The 15,659-nt window shown below is 45.2% G+C and overlaps 1 protein-coding gene across 1 annotated transcript in view; it reads left to right on the top strand.

Annotated features, from left to right (window-relative positions):
• ATP9A (ATPase phospholipid transporting 9A (putative)) overlaps positions 1-15,659 on the top strand; it is a 171,877-nt gene that overhangs the window by 112,846 nt on the left and 43,372 nt on the right. The window lies entirely within an intron of this gene.

The raw sequence follows: 15,659 nt of genomic DNA, 5'->3' as shown, positions 1-15,659 counted from the left end.
CCCTGATGTTGAGCGTCTTTTCGTATGCTTATTGGCCATTTGTTTATCTTCTTTGGAAAAATGTCTATCCATATCCTTTATCCATTTTCACTTTGTCTGTTTTTCTTTTTGTTGTTGAGGTGTTGTTTGTTTGTTTTTGTTTTGCTCTGTCACTCAGGTTGGAGTGCAGTGGCACGATCTTCCCGGCTCCATCTCCCAGAGTGCTGGGATTTTAGGTGTGAGCCACAGCGCCCGGCCACCTTTCAATATCTTTTAATTTACTTTTTAAAACGTGAATTTTCCTATTGATATAGTTTGTATCCTCCTTTTTTCACTTACTATTTTATCATTTCTGTTTTCTAATCATCTTGAATATTATTGAAAGCATTCTTTAAGAATTGCTACCTATGCATATACCCTAATATCCTAACTATTCTCATAATTGGAACTTCTCATACTGTAGGAACTTAGGTTATTCCTAATTTTTAGCAATGATATTTATAAGTATTTTGCAATGAACATCCTTACACCTTATAATTCTAGAAGTGGCGTGATTGGGTTTATGAATTCAAGAGATACTTTTGAGTAGACTAACACTGTGATATTAGTGCTAACAAGACAGCCCCAGGCCCCTAGGGAGGAGGCTTGTGTGACACAGTATAGTGTGTGACTTACTCCCGGGATCCAGCTCCACACTTGGGCAGTTACTTATGCTTGCTGTGCCTCCAGATCTGTGCCATGGAACCCCCACAGTGGGGCTGTTGTGAAGCCCCAAGTAGGCAGTCAGTATATCTTGTGGGTCAAATTGAATGAGTATTTTATTTTTAGAGATGGGGTCTTGCTATGTTGCCCAGGCTGGAGTAGTGCAGCGGCTCTTGATAGGTGCAATCATGGCTCACTGCAGCCCTGAACTCGTGGGTATGAGCCATCCTCCCACCTCAGCCTCCTGAGTAGTCAGGACTACAGGCGTGTGCCACCATGCCCGGCTTTAAATGAGCATAAGGCTCATGGTAACTATGGCCAGAGTGCTTCCCAGAATTTTTTTTTTTTTTTAAACATTTAACTCTTGTACCAACATTGGGAGGAATCCCAATTTTTTTTTTAACCCATTTTAGGAAGAATGGGGCTCCTAAAGTTCTGGACCAATTTGCAAGTATCAGTGAGCCTGCGGTTCCTGGCGGTTGGGGGATGGCACAATGAACATCTTTCCCAAAGTTCACAAATGGAAGAACGCTTGAGTGTCATCTTCTGTGTCCTGGTGCTTCTTTCTCCCTTTTTTGGGCAGTGGAATTTGTCACCTGGGAGACTCCTCCTTCCAGCCTGCAGGGTGTTTGTGGAATAGCTCAAGCTATAAAACCCAGTTCATCCGTGACTGTTGACATTTGAACCAGGCTTTTTAGGAGTGAAAAATGTTGTACACCCCTGGCTACCTTCTGAGATGGGAATTGTGTGCAGAAAGAGAGAGGGGGAGGGAGGGTAGGTTTGGGTGATTGTCCTGATCTACTTGGACTTGTGCCATAGTAAGTGACAATTTCAGGTTTATCATCATTTCTTCTTTCTGTGGCTTGGCAGGTTTAGTCTGTTTTTCCCTTTGGGAATGATACTGTGGAATAGCGATGTCAGAGAGGGCCATATTTTTGGTAGCTATGGACTTGGAACCAGTAACCTGTGGGTATTTGATGGAATTCAAATTTATTTTATTTTATTTGAGCTCCTGACCTCAAGTGATCCTTCAGCCTCCCATAGTGCTGGGACTACAGGCGTGAGCCACCGTGCCAGGCCTTTTTTTTTTGCTCTGTCGCCCAGGCTGGAGTGCAGTGGTATGATCTCGGCTCACTGCAACCTCCACCTTCCGGGTTCAAGCGATTCTCATGCCTCAGCTTCCCAAGTAGTTGGGATTACAGAAGTGCGCCACCATGCCTGGCAAATTTTTGTATTTTTAGTAGAGACAGGGTTTTCCCCATGTTAGCCAGGCTGGTCTCAAACTCCTGAGCTTAAGTGATCTCTCTGCCTCAGCCTCCTAAAGTGCTGGGGTTACAGGCGTAACCACCGCACCCAGCGGAATTCAAATTTGAGCAAGCTCCAGATGCTGATGATCTGAGAAGCAAGTCCTGCCTGAGGCCCCTGATGCTCCTGTTGGCATCTCTGGAGGCTTTAATGCCCGTTGCCCACTCCTCTGCTCCCACTGGACTTTGGTGTATTTGTTTTAGGGCTGTGCAAAGATTTTTCCATGAGGATAAATCTTTCATGGAATGCTTTGCACTTCTCGGCCGCTTTTTCTCAAAGTGAATGGTACTTTATCTCTTCTGTGGATGAATTGCACTTGAAATCAGATTTGTCTTGTTTTTCTAAGATTCTGAATCATGATTGAGAAAAAAAAAAAGAACTACTTTCCTTTGGCCTTTGGTGTCTTCAGAGGCCAGTGTTACCTTTTTGCTGTGGTTGTTTTTTTTTTTGAGACGGAGTCTTGCTCTGTCACCCAGGCTGGAGTGCAGTGGCGTGATCTCGGCTCACTGCAAGCTCTGCCTCCCGGGTTCACAACATTCTTCTGCCTCAGTCTCCCCAGCAGCTGGGACTACAGGCACACGCTGCCACGCCCGGCTATTTTTTTTTGTATTTTTAGTAGAGATGGGGTTTCACCGTGTTAGCCAGGTTGGTCTCGATCTCCTGACCTCGTGATCCGCCCGCCTTGGCCTCCCAAAGTGTTGGGATTACAGGCGTGAGCCACTGCGACTGGCCTTGCTGTGGTTTTTTTTTTACAACTTTTATTATTTTGTATTGCACAGTTATTTTATGTCTATAGTAGAACACATGAATGCATTGATCAGAAAAGTAAAAAGTAGCCCATAATCTTACTAAAGGTATAGTCATTGTTAATGTCTTCCTGATCAGCCTTCTAAAAACTACTTCAGAGGCCGCCTACTGCCAAATACAAATAGGTTTATATAAATGCCTCATGAGGCTCAGAGGAGGCTAAATCTAGTTAAGGTGAAATCTTTCAGAAAGCCGTACTGTTTCCAAGTCCCTGTAGGATTCTGCATAGACTTGGCTGGCTCTAGAATCGTGCCTTTGAAATTCAATATCAATAAAACATTGCTAGCCTAGGCAAGGTCAGTTTATGGAACATGTGTAGAAACCAGTATGCATTTTACTTGGGAGCTGCTGGAGTAATTTCTACCAGTTGGCGTAGGATTCATTTCCTGTAACAGAAAGCAGGATTTCCTAAATTTGTTTCCTGTGCACATTCCAGTTGGGGAACCTTGAAGTGTCTTTATTCAGCTATCGATTACAGCCTGGGGGCGCTGGGCCCTCCCTGCCACCGTACAGTAAGTCACGGAGGAAATGAAATAGATACAGTCGGACCCGGAGGAGCGGAGCACTGCTCAGATGCTGGAGCGAGCAGGCCTCAGCCCTGACAGCATCCCACCATTTCCAGGATGTTCCACAGTGTCGAGAGTGGGTGGTGGGGAGTGGCAGTGGGGGCCTTGGTGATAATGCAACTTTCCAAGCCTTTGTTTCTTGGTTTGAGCCAGGAGGTGCTGTCCTGTAAGCAGCTAGGATCAGCTCTGTCCATGGCTCATTCACTTGTCTTTTCCATGAATTTTTCATATTTAAAAAACTTTTTTTCTTTTTTTGGCCAGGCGCTTTTGAGACAGAGTCTTGCTCTGTCGCCCAGTGGTGTGATCTTGGCTCACTGCAATCTCCGCCTCCCGGGTTCAAACCATTCTTCTGCCTCAGCCTCCTGAGTAGCTGGGACTACAGGTGCCCACCACCATGCCTGGTTAATTTTTATATTTTTAGTAGAGACAGGGTTTCACCATGCTGGCCAGGCTGGTCTCAAACTCCTAACCTCAAATGATCCACTCACCTCAGCCTCCCAAAGTGCTAGGATTACAAGCGTGAGCCACCACTCCTGGCCAAAAAAGGTTTTAAAATCACAAGTACTAATGTCTTCACTACAGAAAAGGGAGAAATTGTAGAATCAAAAAGAAGATAAAAAATAACCTGTGATTCTTGCCACCTGGCGATAACTACTACTGTTTATGTTCTGGTATAGATTTTCTCAGACTCCTTCTAAATGTATGCATATTTAAATATACATATATATTTATTTTATTTTATGTGTATTTATATAATATATGATATGCATATTTATAATATGTAAATATTTACATATTATAAATATGTAAAGAAATATATATAATGTAAATATATATTATATAATATATTATGTAAATATATATTATATAATATATTATGTAAATATATATTATATAATATATTATGTAAATATATATTATATAATATATTATGTAAATATATATTATGTAAATAATAATTTAAATATTGACATAATATATAAATATATAAAATAATATTTACTTTGTGTGTGTGTGTGTATATATATATATGGAGAGAGAGAGAGAGGACCAGTACAGAATCATGCTGTAGTACATATAATTAAACAGGAAGGAGGGTGAATTAAGTAACTTCCTTTAGAAAGTCATATGGCTTTCCGAGATTGCACCACTGCACTCGAGCCTGGGCAACAGAGCGAGACTGTCTCAAAAAAAAAATTTAAAAAAAAGAAAGTCATATGACTTTCACATTTCTGTAGGACTTACGCTTGTGTTCAGGTATACGTGTGTGTGTGTGTGTGTGTATGTGTGATGTATTTTCCTGTGTGCCATGTTAGTATGTGTGTGCACATGGATGCACATGTGTGTGTATGAATGAAAGCTGCTTGCTGTATTTCACTGGGTCTTGAATAGCTGAATAATTCCAGAGCAATGAATCAGCAGTTCTAGGTAACATGCAGAGTGTCTCCATGGCTAGCACATGCTCATGGCACAGAGTGAGAAGCCTGTTGCTCTCCTTCCCTGACTTCCATTCTCCCAGGCTTCTTCCTCTGCGACACCCGCTGTTATTAATATCTGAGTATACTTGCAGAGATAATTCTTTGCATGTATTAGAATTACCCTCACGCTTCATTAAAATATATATATATTTTTTATTTTTTATTTTTTTTTTTGAGACGGAGTCTCACTCTGTCACCCAGGCTGGAGTGCAGTGGCACCATCTCGGCTCACTGCAACCTCCGTCTCCTGGGTTCAAGTGATTCTCCTGCCTCGGCCTCCCGAGCAGCTGGGACTACAGGTGCACGCCATCACGCCCAGCTAATTTTTGTATTTTTAGTAGAGACGGGGTTTCACCATATTGGCCAGGCTGGTCTCAAATTCCTGACCTTGTGACTCACCCACCTTGGCCTCCCAAAGTGCTGAGAGTACAGGCGTGAGCCACCACACCCAGCCTATTAAAGTATTTTTTAAAATTTAAAAGCACAACTGTAAATTATAGATGCAGCTTTACACTTTGCTTTTAGTAGCTCAGTTTTTACAAATGTGCCAGGACATGGAATATCATTGCACTGTGACCTCAGCGAGGGCTGAGTTTTACTGAAACATCTGCCGTGGGTTCCTGTAGCCTCCCAGTGGCATAAATGCATGTCTGTATTTCAAGACCCTGTCTACTCACTTTCATGGAAGGTGAGGGCATCACATTGGCCTTCCCTGCTTCTGCAGTGCAATTGCTGGCCATGTTTAACTTGTAACTTTCAATTCAATCAGCTGTGTGATTTTTTTTTTTTTTTTTTGAGACGGATTCTCGCTCTGCTGCCCAGGCTGGAGTGCGGTGGTACGATCTTGGCTCACTTCAACCTCCGCCTCCCAGGTACAAGCAATTCTCTTGCCTCACCTCCCAAGTAGCTGGGACTACAGGCATCTACCACCACGCCCGGCTAATTTTGAATTTTTAGTAGAGACAGGGTTTCACCATGTTGGCCAGGCTGGTCTCGAGCTCCTGACCTCAAGTGATCTGCCCGCCTTGGCCTCCCACAGTGCTGGGATTACAGGCGTGAACTACTGCACCCGGCCTAGCTGTGCGATTTTAAGCAAATCATTGCTGCACCTCAGCCTCCTCAAAGGTAAAGAGGGACTAGGGCCATTGACTTCACAGGTCCTTGCTAAAGATGAGGTAGTAATGGTGATAACAGTGGTACTGACGGCAGTGAGAAATGATCACCTATTGAATACCTGCTCTGTGCCAGGCCCTGGGCTATGAGCCCCTCTTATGATAGAGTCACAATGATTGTGCCCATTTTGTAGATGAAGTGTAAGTTGGCTAAGGAAAGTTCCCATGGTCGCATAGCTGGCACGATTAAAACCAGACAGCCCATGCCTAGAGTCTGGACTATGCAACCCACAATACCACTTTCCTCCCCAGGGGATGATGGCTTGAAAGTGCTTTGTAAACTCCTGAAGTGCTCCAGAGAGTGAAGATGCCTGTGTGTGGGAGACTCAGGGCTGATACTGGATGAAGTACCACAGTCTCTGGCTATTTTTAGCCAAACAGGGTGCCCTGTTTGGAGGTAATGTTCAGACACTCTGCATCTTCCAAGTGCAGTGGAATTTTTATTTTTTATTTTTATTCTTTGGTCCCTTCCCTCTTTTCTCATCTGGGGAAGCTTCCGAGCTTGGTGAAAATAAGCCTTTTTCTGCCAGACCCTGGCAGCCTACCTTCTGAGTATCTTGCCTTTACCACCCACCTCATTAGGATTCATCCCTTAGAAAGGAAAATTAAAATGAGCATGTTTCACTTAGCAACTTCCAGTTCCACCTATGTTGCTGCAAGTCACAGAATTTCTTTCTTTTTTAATGTGTTTTGCTTATTTTTTTGAGGTAGGATCTTGCTGTATTGCCCAGGCTGGAATACAGTGGTGCAGTCTTGGCTCACTGCAGCCTTGACCTCCTGGCCTCAAGCAGTCCTCCCGCCTCAGCCTTCCAAGTAGCTGGGATGAGAGGCGCACACCACCACACCTGGATAATTTTTGTATTTTATTGTAGCAATGGGGGTCTTGCTATGTTGACCAGGCCAATCTCAAACTCCAAACTCAAGCAACTGTCCTGCCTCAGCCTCCCAGAGTGCTGGAATTACAGGCGTAAGCACTGCATTGGGCCAATAAGAGGTTTTTTAATGGCTATACAATATTCTTCTGCGTACGTACACCACAGAGTATTTGTTCTATCTCCCAAGCTTACCACTTAGGAGGTTTCCCCCTTTTGGCTATCATAAATCATGCCACGATGCATTGCCTTCCACCTTCTCTCTGCACATCTTTGACCATGTGTGTAAAAGGTCCCGTTTGTCTCCTTTTGCCTCGTCTTAATCTTGTTGCTGAACGTGAGTGTAAAACCTGCTGGAGAGCTCAAGTACATGGTGCCGGGGAGGGCAGGCAATCTCGCGGTCCTTCTGCGGCTACGAGGTTGGTTGGTTTGTTTTTTTATGAGCACATTCTTGGTGAACCATAAGATGTATGCAGTTCCCCTCCATGCCTGGGTATAGCCTGAGCCTCAGCCTCAGGTCCAGACAATGACAGCATTCAGATGTGTGCATGAATGAGCTCGGAGTGTGAAGCAGAAAGATTTAGGAGGGTGTTGGAGTTTTACCACCACGTTGCCATGACCTTGGACCCAAGGGGTAAGGTCAAAGAACAGAGGTTAGGAACTATAGGGGAATTCTTCCATCAGTATTATTGATTAACCACCGAAGTGGGGTCTCAAAACAGGATTGTGGTTGTTCAGAAGAAGACAGCGGGGGCTGTTTGAGCAGGGCTGGACAGTGTTTTACAGACACTGTAGGAAACTGTCAGATGTGCCTCCCTTGGTGTTAGCTTATCCATGGGCCATAGAGGCAAAAGCTCTGTCCCATGTGATATTAGTGTTGGCTCAGAATAGAGTTAATATATAGTCATTTCTTTTTTTTTTCTTTTTCTTTTTTGAGACAGAGTCTCGCTCTGCTACCCAGGCTGGAGTGCAAAGGTGCAATCTTGGCTCACTGCAACCTCCGCCTCCTGGGTTCCAGCTATTCTCCTGCCTTAGCCTCCTGGGTAGCTGGGACTATAGGCATATGCCACCATGCCTGGCTAATTTTGTATTTTTAGTTTATTTGTTTGTTTTGAGATGAAGTCTTGCTCTGTTGCTCAGGCTGGAGTACAGTGCCACAATCTCAGCTCACTGCAACCTCCGCCTCCCGGGTTTAAGGGATTCTCCTGCCTCAGCCTCCCGAGTAGCTGGGATTACAGGTGTGTGCCACCACGCCTGGCTAATTTTTTTGTATTTTTAGTAGAGACAGGGTTTCACCATGTTGGCTAGGCTGGTCTTGAACTCCTTACCTCAAGTGATCCACCATCCTTGGCCCCACAAAGTGCTGGGATTACAGGCATGAGCCACCGTGCCCGGTCTATAAATAGTCATTTCTTAATGATCACATTTTAGGAAGATGATGCTGTTCTTTCTTCTTAAGTATTTATTTTTATCAGTCAAGTGATAGGAAGTTCAATTTCAAGTACAAGACATTTGGATCAAGAAGTGACTATTATTTATTTATTTGAGATGGAGTCTTGCTCTGTTGCCCAAGCTGGAGTGCAGTGGTGTGATCTCAGCTCACTGCAACTTCCTCCTCCTGGGTTCAAGCAATTCCGCTGCCTCAGCCTCCCGAGTAGCTGGAATTACAGGCACCCACCGGCCCAGTGAATTTTTTGCACTTTTTTTTAGTAGAGATGGGTTTTCACTATGTTGGCCAGGCTGGTCTTGAGGCTCCATACCTCAGGTGATCCGCCCACTTCAGCCTCCCAAGGTGTTGGGATTACAGGCGTGAGCCACTGCGCCTGGCAAGAAGTGACCTTTTATGCCACTGTCTCTTCCGCTGATTCCTAGCAGGCTGTGTTTTGTTTGTTTCATGCTATGTTAAAAAAAAAAATTGAAGCAGTATTTAAAAATCACTTGATTTTATGTCAAAATTAGTTTTTCTCAAGAAAGATCAGGTCTGGAAATAGTAGGCCCAACTTCTACCTGGCAGTGGTTGGCCAAGCTGGGCAGCTGCTGCCTCAGTTTTCTTCTGACCCCCACATGGCCCTGCCCTATGCCTGTCTGCTTCTCTCCCAACGCCTGTCGGCATTTGAACCTGCAACCACTGCCTGGTGCATTTGAATGTATTTTCGTATTGAGTGAAGAAAACCGTGTGTCTGTGGATAGATTTATAATTTTGAAAGGCTGGATTAGGGCTGACCGGTGACTCTTTGTGAGCTTAAGTATTTATCTTATTGAATGCCACCAAATAACCCCTTTTATCAGATGTCACATTCCCGCCTCGTATCATACGTGCTCTGATGATTGGTATGTATCCTGCTTTTGACAAGAATTCAAGGCTACTGAGCGTGATCTGGCTTATTTCCCAAGCACAGCATCCCAGGTACAAAGAGAAAACTTTAAAAACTTGTCACAAGTGGTTTATTGCTGGCCAAGAAATGATGAAAAAGCCCTTTCACGGATGGTTTCTGGCCTGAGTCCCTCACATGGGCATTTGAGGCAGGGAAAGGTGTGGGCTCTGCCCCTTTGGTTTCTTGTCACCCAAAGGAGAAAACACAACAGACTCCTGAGACAGGATCCCCTCCCCGCCCTTTCTACCTTTCCAGCATTTTATCCAGCTCGCGTCTAATGTATCTGTTCATTCATCCACCTTAACGAGGTTGTGTTTTCTGCTGCTGGCCTGACCTGCAGTTATTGAGACCCTAACTCAGGCTGTTAACAGCAGTGAGATGCAAGCCCCTGAAATCCTCTATCTTGTGTGTTACGGGGTGATTTCTTTGAACAGAAGCCAGAATGTTAAGTAACCTTGTTGTATATCACTTTGTTTTGGGAGGGAATGCAGTTATCTCAGCTCACTCCCCAGATGTTTGTCTGGCCCACAATCGAGAGGTGTTAGTGAGTACCCCACTTCTAAACTGGTCCTCCCTGAGTAGGACTCTGGGGGATGTTATGTGTCCTGTTAGAAAGTAGCTTTAAATTAACACTGACTTAAGCTAAAATGGAGGAGAGTGGAAGGGGAGAAGGAAAGACTTCCTGCAGGGCTCAGATCCTGTTGGAATCAGCTCCCAAAGAGACTGAGAACGTTCTTGTTTTTTTTTTGTTTGTTTGTTTTTGTTTGTTTGTTTGTTTGTTTTGAGACGGAGTCTCACTCTGTCGCCCAGGCGCGATCTTGGCTCACTGCAAACTCCACCTCCCGGGTTCACGCCATTCTCCTGCCTCAGCCTCCCGAGTAGCTGGGATTATAGGTGCCTGCCACCACGCTCTGCTAATTTTTGTATCTTTAGTAGAGACAGGGTTTCACCATGTTGGCCAGGCTGGTCTCAAACTCCTGACCTCAGGTGATCTGCCTGCCTTGGCTTCCCAAAGTGCTGGGATTACAGGTGTGAGCCACCTCGCCAGATCCTGCAGAGGTTTTGATTAGGATGGTGGATCCCAGGGGTGGGGAAGGGCTACAGATATAGCTGTCGTAGGCTCCTAAGCTCCACTGAGAGGCTTGCTCTAGAAGAAAGCAAGGCTAAAAGATGTTTACATACAGCTGTAATTGATCTTTCCTCAAAAGCGTTTGTCATTTCTGATCATTTCAGGTTATAGTTATTCAACGTTTCCACTAACATGAACCTGTGGGGTCTGTAGCTGGGCATGCTGGGCTGGCCGATTCTGCTGCCCAGCCCTGGAAGCCACTTCTGGTTCTGGAGTTACAGATTCTTTCTCGATTAAAGTTAAAAGCAGGCTTTTGGGGAATTAGTGTATCTCCTGGAAGCCCAGTATCACAGACTTTTCACATATTTTCAGGGCAATTAACAGGCAAAGTAATAGCTACTTGAGAATAGGAATAAAAAAATCATTTCCATAAGTGTTTGAAAGTACCTGAAGAATAATTTTTTTTTTTACTTTATTACTTAATAGGTATATAAGGAAGGATATAAATTTAGTCAGGGTTTTTTAGCTTGTACATAACTAGGTATTTGTAATATTTGAATTGTATTGGGATGTTTATTTAATTAAAGTTAAACGTAAAAGAAATGCGTATACACGTTTGAAACATTTCGGTGGTATAGAAAGCTAGAAGTGGCCGGGCGCCATGGCCCATGCCTGTAATTCCAGCACTTTGGGAGGCCGAGGTGGGCAGATCATGAGGTCAGGAGATCGAGACCATCCTGACTAACATGGTGAAACCCATCTCTACTAAAAATACAAAAAAAAAAAAAATTAGCCGGGTGTGGTGGCGGGCACCAGCTACTTGGGAGGCTGAGGCAGGAGAATGGCATGAACCCAGGAGGTGGAGTTTGCAGTGAGCCGAGATCGCGCCACTGCACTCCAACCTGGGCAAAAGAGTGAGACTCCGTCTCAAAAAAAAAAAAAAAAAAAAAAAGCTAGAAGTAAAAGCTAGAAGTAATTCTCTCCATGTGTATCACTCTATAAACATTTCTACACTGCACCCAAGCTTTTTTACATAGACAGATGGGATAATTTTTTTTCTTGTTTTTATTTATTTATTTATTTTTGAGGCAGAGTCTTGTTCTGTTGCTCAGGCTGAAGTGCAATGGCGCCATCCCAGCTCACTGCAACCTCTGCCTCTGGGGTTCACGCGATTCTCCTGCCTTAGACTCCCGAGTAGCTGGGATTACAGGCACCCGCCATCATGCCTGGCTAGTTTTTGTATTTTTGTAGAGATGGGGTTTCGCTATGTTGACCTGACTGGTCTTGAACTCCTGACCTCAGGTGATCCTCCTGCCTCGGCCTCCCAAAGTGCTGGGATTACAGACATGAGCTACTGCACCTGGCTGGTATGATTTTATATATGCGAATCATTACTGATTTGTTAATTTTAAACTTTGGAAGACAATTGTTAGCAGACAAAACAGGGCTATATTGAAAGTTAGAGTGTCTTAGTCTGTTTGGCCTGCTATAACATGGCCTGCTATAACAAAATACCATCAACTGGGTATCTTGTAAACAACAGAAGTTATTTCTCCTAGTTCTGGAGGCTGGGAAGTCCTGTGTCAGCATACTGGCAGATTTGGTGTCTGGTGAGGGCCTGTTTCCTGGCTGATAAAAGGCCCTCTTTTCACTCTGTCTCTCGCAGCAGAAGGAGCGAGGGACCTCTCTGGGGTTTCTTTCATAAAGGCACACATCCACTCATGAGGAACCCCACCCCCAGGACTTAATCACCTCCCAGAGGCCCCATCTCCAACTGCTATCATATTGGGGATTAGGTTTCAACATATGAATTTTAGGGGACATAAACATAGTCTATAGCATAGCCATTAAATTAAACAAATAACTAAGTGAATGAGTTTTCAAAGACTTAGGCAGGCCAGTAGCCAAAAACTAAAACTAAAAAAACACAAAATAAAAACAGAAAAACCCACTACTTGATTGGTCCTTTCTTTGAAAGGTAGAGGTCAGTATGACAGTTTCTTCCATTGGTCAAAGCTCAAAGCTCGTTAGTGCTGGCTGACTCATTATGACTTGAACTTAAATAAGGGAGAGTCTTGAAAAATAATTTCTTGCTAATGTAAATTTAGTTAATAGAAGCAACAGAAACTGAACTCGATATCTGAGCATAGTAGACTAAGGATGCATAAAGATACATTTTCAGAGCTGGAGCAGAAATGAGAAATAGTCATCTACTCCAAGATCTTTATTTTGCAGAGGCCTGTGGGGGCTGGGGGCTGGGGACAGAGCGGGGACTGGAACCCCAGTTTTGAGCTCCAGCTTGATCTCTTCTTCGGGGTATAGCAGGTCAGCTAAGATGACATCCAGGGGTTCCAGAGAAAGAAAGGACTAGGGGTGGAGAGCTGCATACCTTTGCCTTGTGGCTTCTGCAGAGCTCTCTTGGTAAAAGGAATGGGAACTCAAGAGGAACGCCAGGTTTTTTTTTTTTTTTTTTTTTTTTTTTTTTTTTTTTTTGGAGACAGAGTCTCACTCAGTCACCCAGGCTAGAGTGCAGTGGCATGGTTTCAGCTTACTGTAGCCTCTGCCTCCCAGGCTGAATCAATCTTCCCATCTCAGCCTCTCCAGTAGCTGGGACTACAGGTGCTCCCCTAGAGCCTCCGCAGCAATGCAGCAATGGTGATCAAGCGACCTTGATCCTGTCTCAGTGAGACCCTCATCCCATGTCCACCCCTGATCTATAGAACTGTAAGAAAATCTATTTGTTTCATTTTAAAACAGATGCTGGCCGGTGCGGTGGCCCATGGCTGTAATCCCAGCACTTTGGGAGGGAGGTTGAAGCAGGTGGATCACTTGAGATCAGGAGTTTGAGACCAATTTGGCCAACATGGTGAAATCCCATCTCTATTAAAATTACAAAAATTAGGCAGATGTGATGGCAGGTGCCTGTAATCCCAGCTACTTGGGAGGCTGATGCAGGAGAATTGCTTGAACCCGGGAGGTGGAGGTTGCAATGAGCCGAGATCGCACCACTGCACTCCAGCCTAGGTGACAGAGTGAGACTCCATCACGAAAACAAAACAAAACAAAACAAACAAAAAAAAACAGATGCACAGTAATTTGGTACAGCAACAACAGGAAAGGAATACAGGAGGGCTTCCAACTTCAATGCCAAACAAGCTGTCACTTTATTCCCATCCAAGTCCAAAGGTACAGTGTCTACAAAAAATCAAGAAAGAAGAAAAGGAAGGCCCTCCCACTTTCCTCTCATAAAGCTTAATCTTTAGGGGGAGTAGGGGAGGCAGGTTTTAGGAGGGTGTTGACAGGGGCTGCAGGTAGGTGATAGGGAGAGGGGTACTTGGGAGGCATCACCTCCACTGGAAGTGTTTTTTATCTTTTTTTTTTTTTTTTTGAGATGGAGTTTCGCTCTTGTTGCCCAAACTGGAGTGCAATGGCGCGACCTCGGCTCACTGCAACCTCTGCCTCCTGGGTTCAAGTGATTCTCCTGCCTCAGCCTCCCTGGTAGCTGGGATTACAGGCGCCTGCCACCACGCCCAGCTTATTTTTTATTTTTTTTATTTTTATTTTTTTAGTAGAGATGGGGTTTCACTATGTTGGCCAGGCTGGTCTCGAACTCCTGACCTCAGGTGATCCACTCACCTCAGCCTCCCAAAGTGCTGAGATTACAGGTGTGAGCCACCGCGCCCGGCTCTATTATTATGTTTTTGAGACAGGGTCTTACTCTGTGTCCAGGTGGGAGTAGTGTGGCACCATTATGGCTCACTGTAGCCTCCACCTCCCAGATCGTGATCCTCCCACCTCAACCTCTTGAGTAACTGAGACGACACACATGCACCACCCCACCCTAATAATAATTTTTTTTTTGAGATACAGTCTCGCTCTGTTGTCCAGGCTGGAGTGGGGTGGTGCGATCTCTACTCACTGCAACTTCTACCTTCCAGGTTTAAGAGATTCGCCTCCCTCAGCCTCCTGAGTAGCTGGGATTACAGGCGCATGCCACCACCTCCGGCTAATTTTTGTATTTTTAGTAGAGACTGGATTTCACCATGTTGACCAGGCTAGTCTCGAACTCCTGACCTCAGGTGATCTGCCTGCCTCAGCCTCCCAAAGTTCTGGGATTACAGACATGAGCCACCACCCTAATAATTAAAAAATTTTTTTTTAGAAATGGGGTCTCCTTGTGTTACCTAGGCTTGTCTCAAACTCCTGGGCTCAAGTGATCCTCCTGCGTCAACCTCCCCAAGTGCTGGGATTAAAAGTGTGAGTCACAGCAGCTGGCCAATTGCTTACATTTAAAAGTTAGGCCGTCTCGGGGAGAAGTCTAAATTTCTGTTTTTTCTTGAGAAACTGGAAGCTCCATCCACCCTGGCCCTAGTCCCTGCAGGGCAGTAACTGCCACCTGTGTGTATAGTGGCAGCAGCCTCCTTTGGCTGGGGCTGGGCTCCTGCTTGCCACAGCCCCCACTCAGCCCTCTTTGCTATTTGTATCAACACTCTGGCCCCTGTCTTGGAGTTTGCAACCCTCATGCCTTTGACCTTAAGCTGAGTATGTCTGGCTGAGGCCATGAGAAGGTTCTGACTTGACACCCGTGCGATGACTCTTGGAAGGGAAGAGTGTGTGCTGTGGAACTTTACACCAGGCGGATCCAGGTGCCAGTCTGGCCTAGCTTTGCCACATGCCAGCGCTGTCACCTTGGGCAACTTCATTAACTGCTCTGAGCCTTGGTTTCCTCTTCTGTGTGGACCCGTGTTCTCCACCTCAGCACTATTGACATTTGGGGCCAGATCAGTCTCTGGTGTGGTATGTCCTGTGTGTTACGGGACGTTTTGTAGCATCCCTGGCCTCTGCCCACTGGATACCAGCATTACCTCCTTCCAGTTGTGACAAGTACAGATTCCCCCAGATGTTGGCGCGGGTCCCCTGGGGGACAGAATCACCCAGTTGAGAACCACTGAAGACACTCCCCCAGTGCAGTGTGTGAGGCTGAAAGGAGAGCCTGAAGGCGAAGGGCTGTGTCAGTCAGCATTCTCTTCCTTCTTTTTTTTATTGTTTAGCTTGTTGCAGATACTTCCAGGAGTGATCCGTAATTGTGCCAATTGCTCCTTTTTTCGGAGTGGGGGTGGTGTGGGGTGGGGACGGGGACAGAGTCTCGCTATGTCACCCAGGCTGGAGTGCAATGGCGTGATCTCAGCTCACTGCATCTCTGCCTCCTGGGTTCAAGCGATTCTCCTGCCTCAGCCTCCTGGGTAGCTGGGATTACAGGTGTCCGCCACCATGCCTGGGTAATTTTTGTATTTTTAGTAAAGACGGGGTTTCACCATATTGGCCAGGCTGGTC

The sequence above is a fragment of the Homo sapiens genome, chromosome 20 (assembly GCF_000001405.40).
Source record: "Homo sapiens chromosome 20, GRCh38.p14 Primary Assembly".
In the NCBI taxonomy this organism is placed as follows: Eukaryota; Metazoa; Chordata; class Mammalia; order Primates; family Hominidae; genus Homo; species Homo sapiens.
The sequence above is the reverse complement of the archived record's forward strand: the minus strand, read 5'-3'. Positions and strand labels throughout refer to the sequence as shown.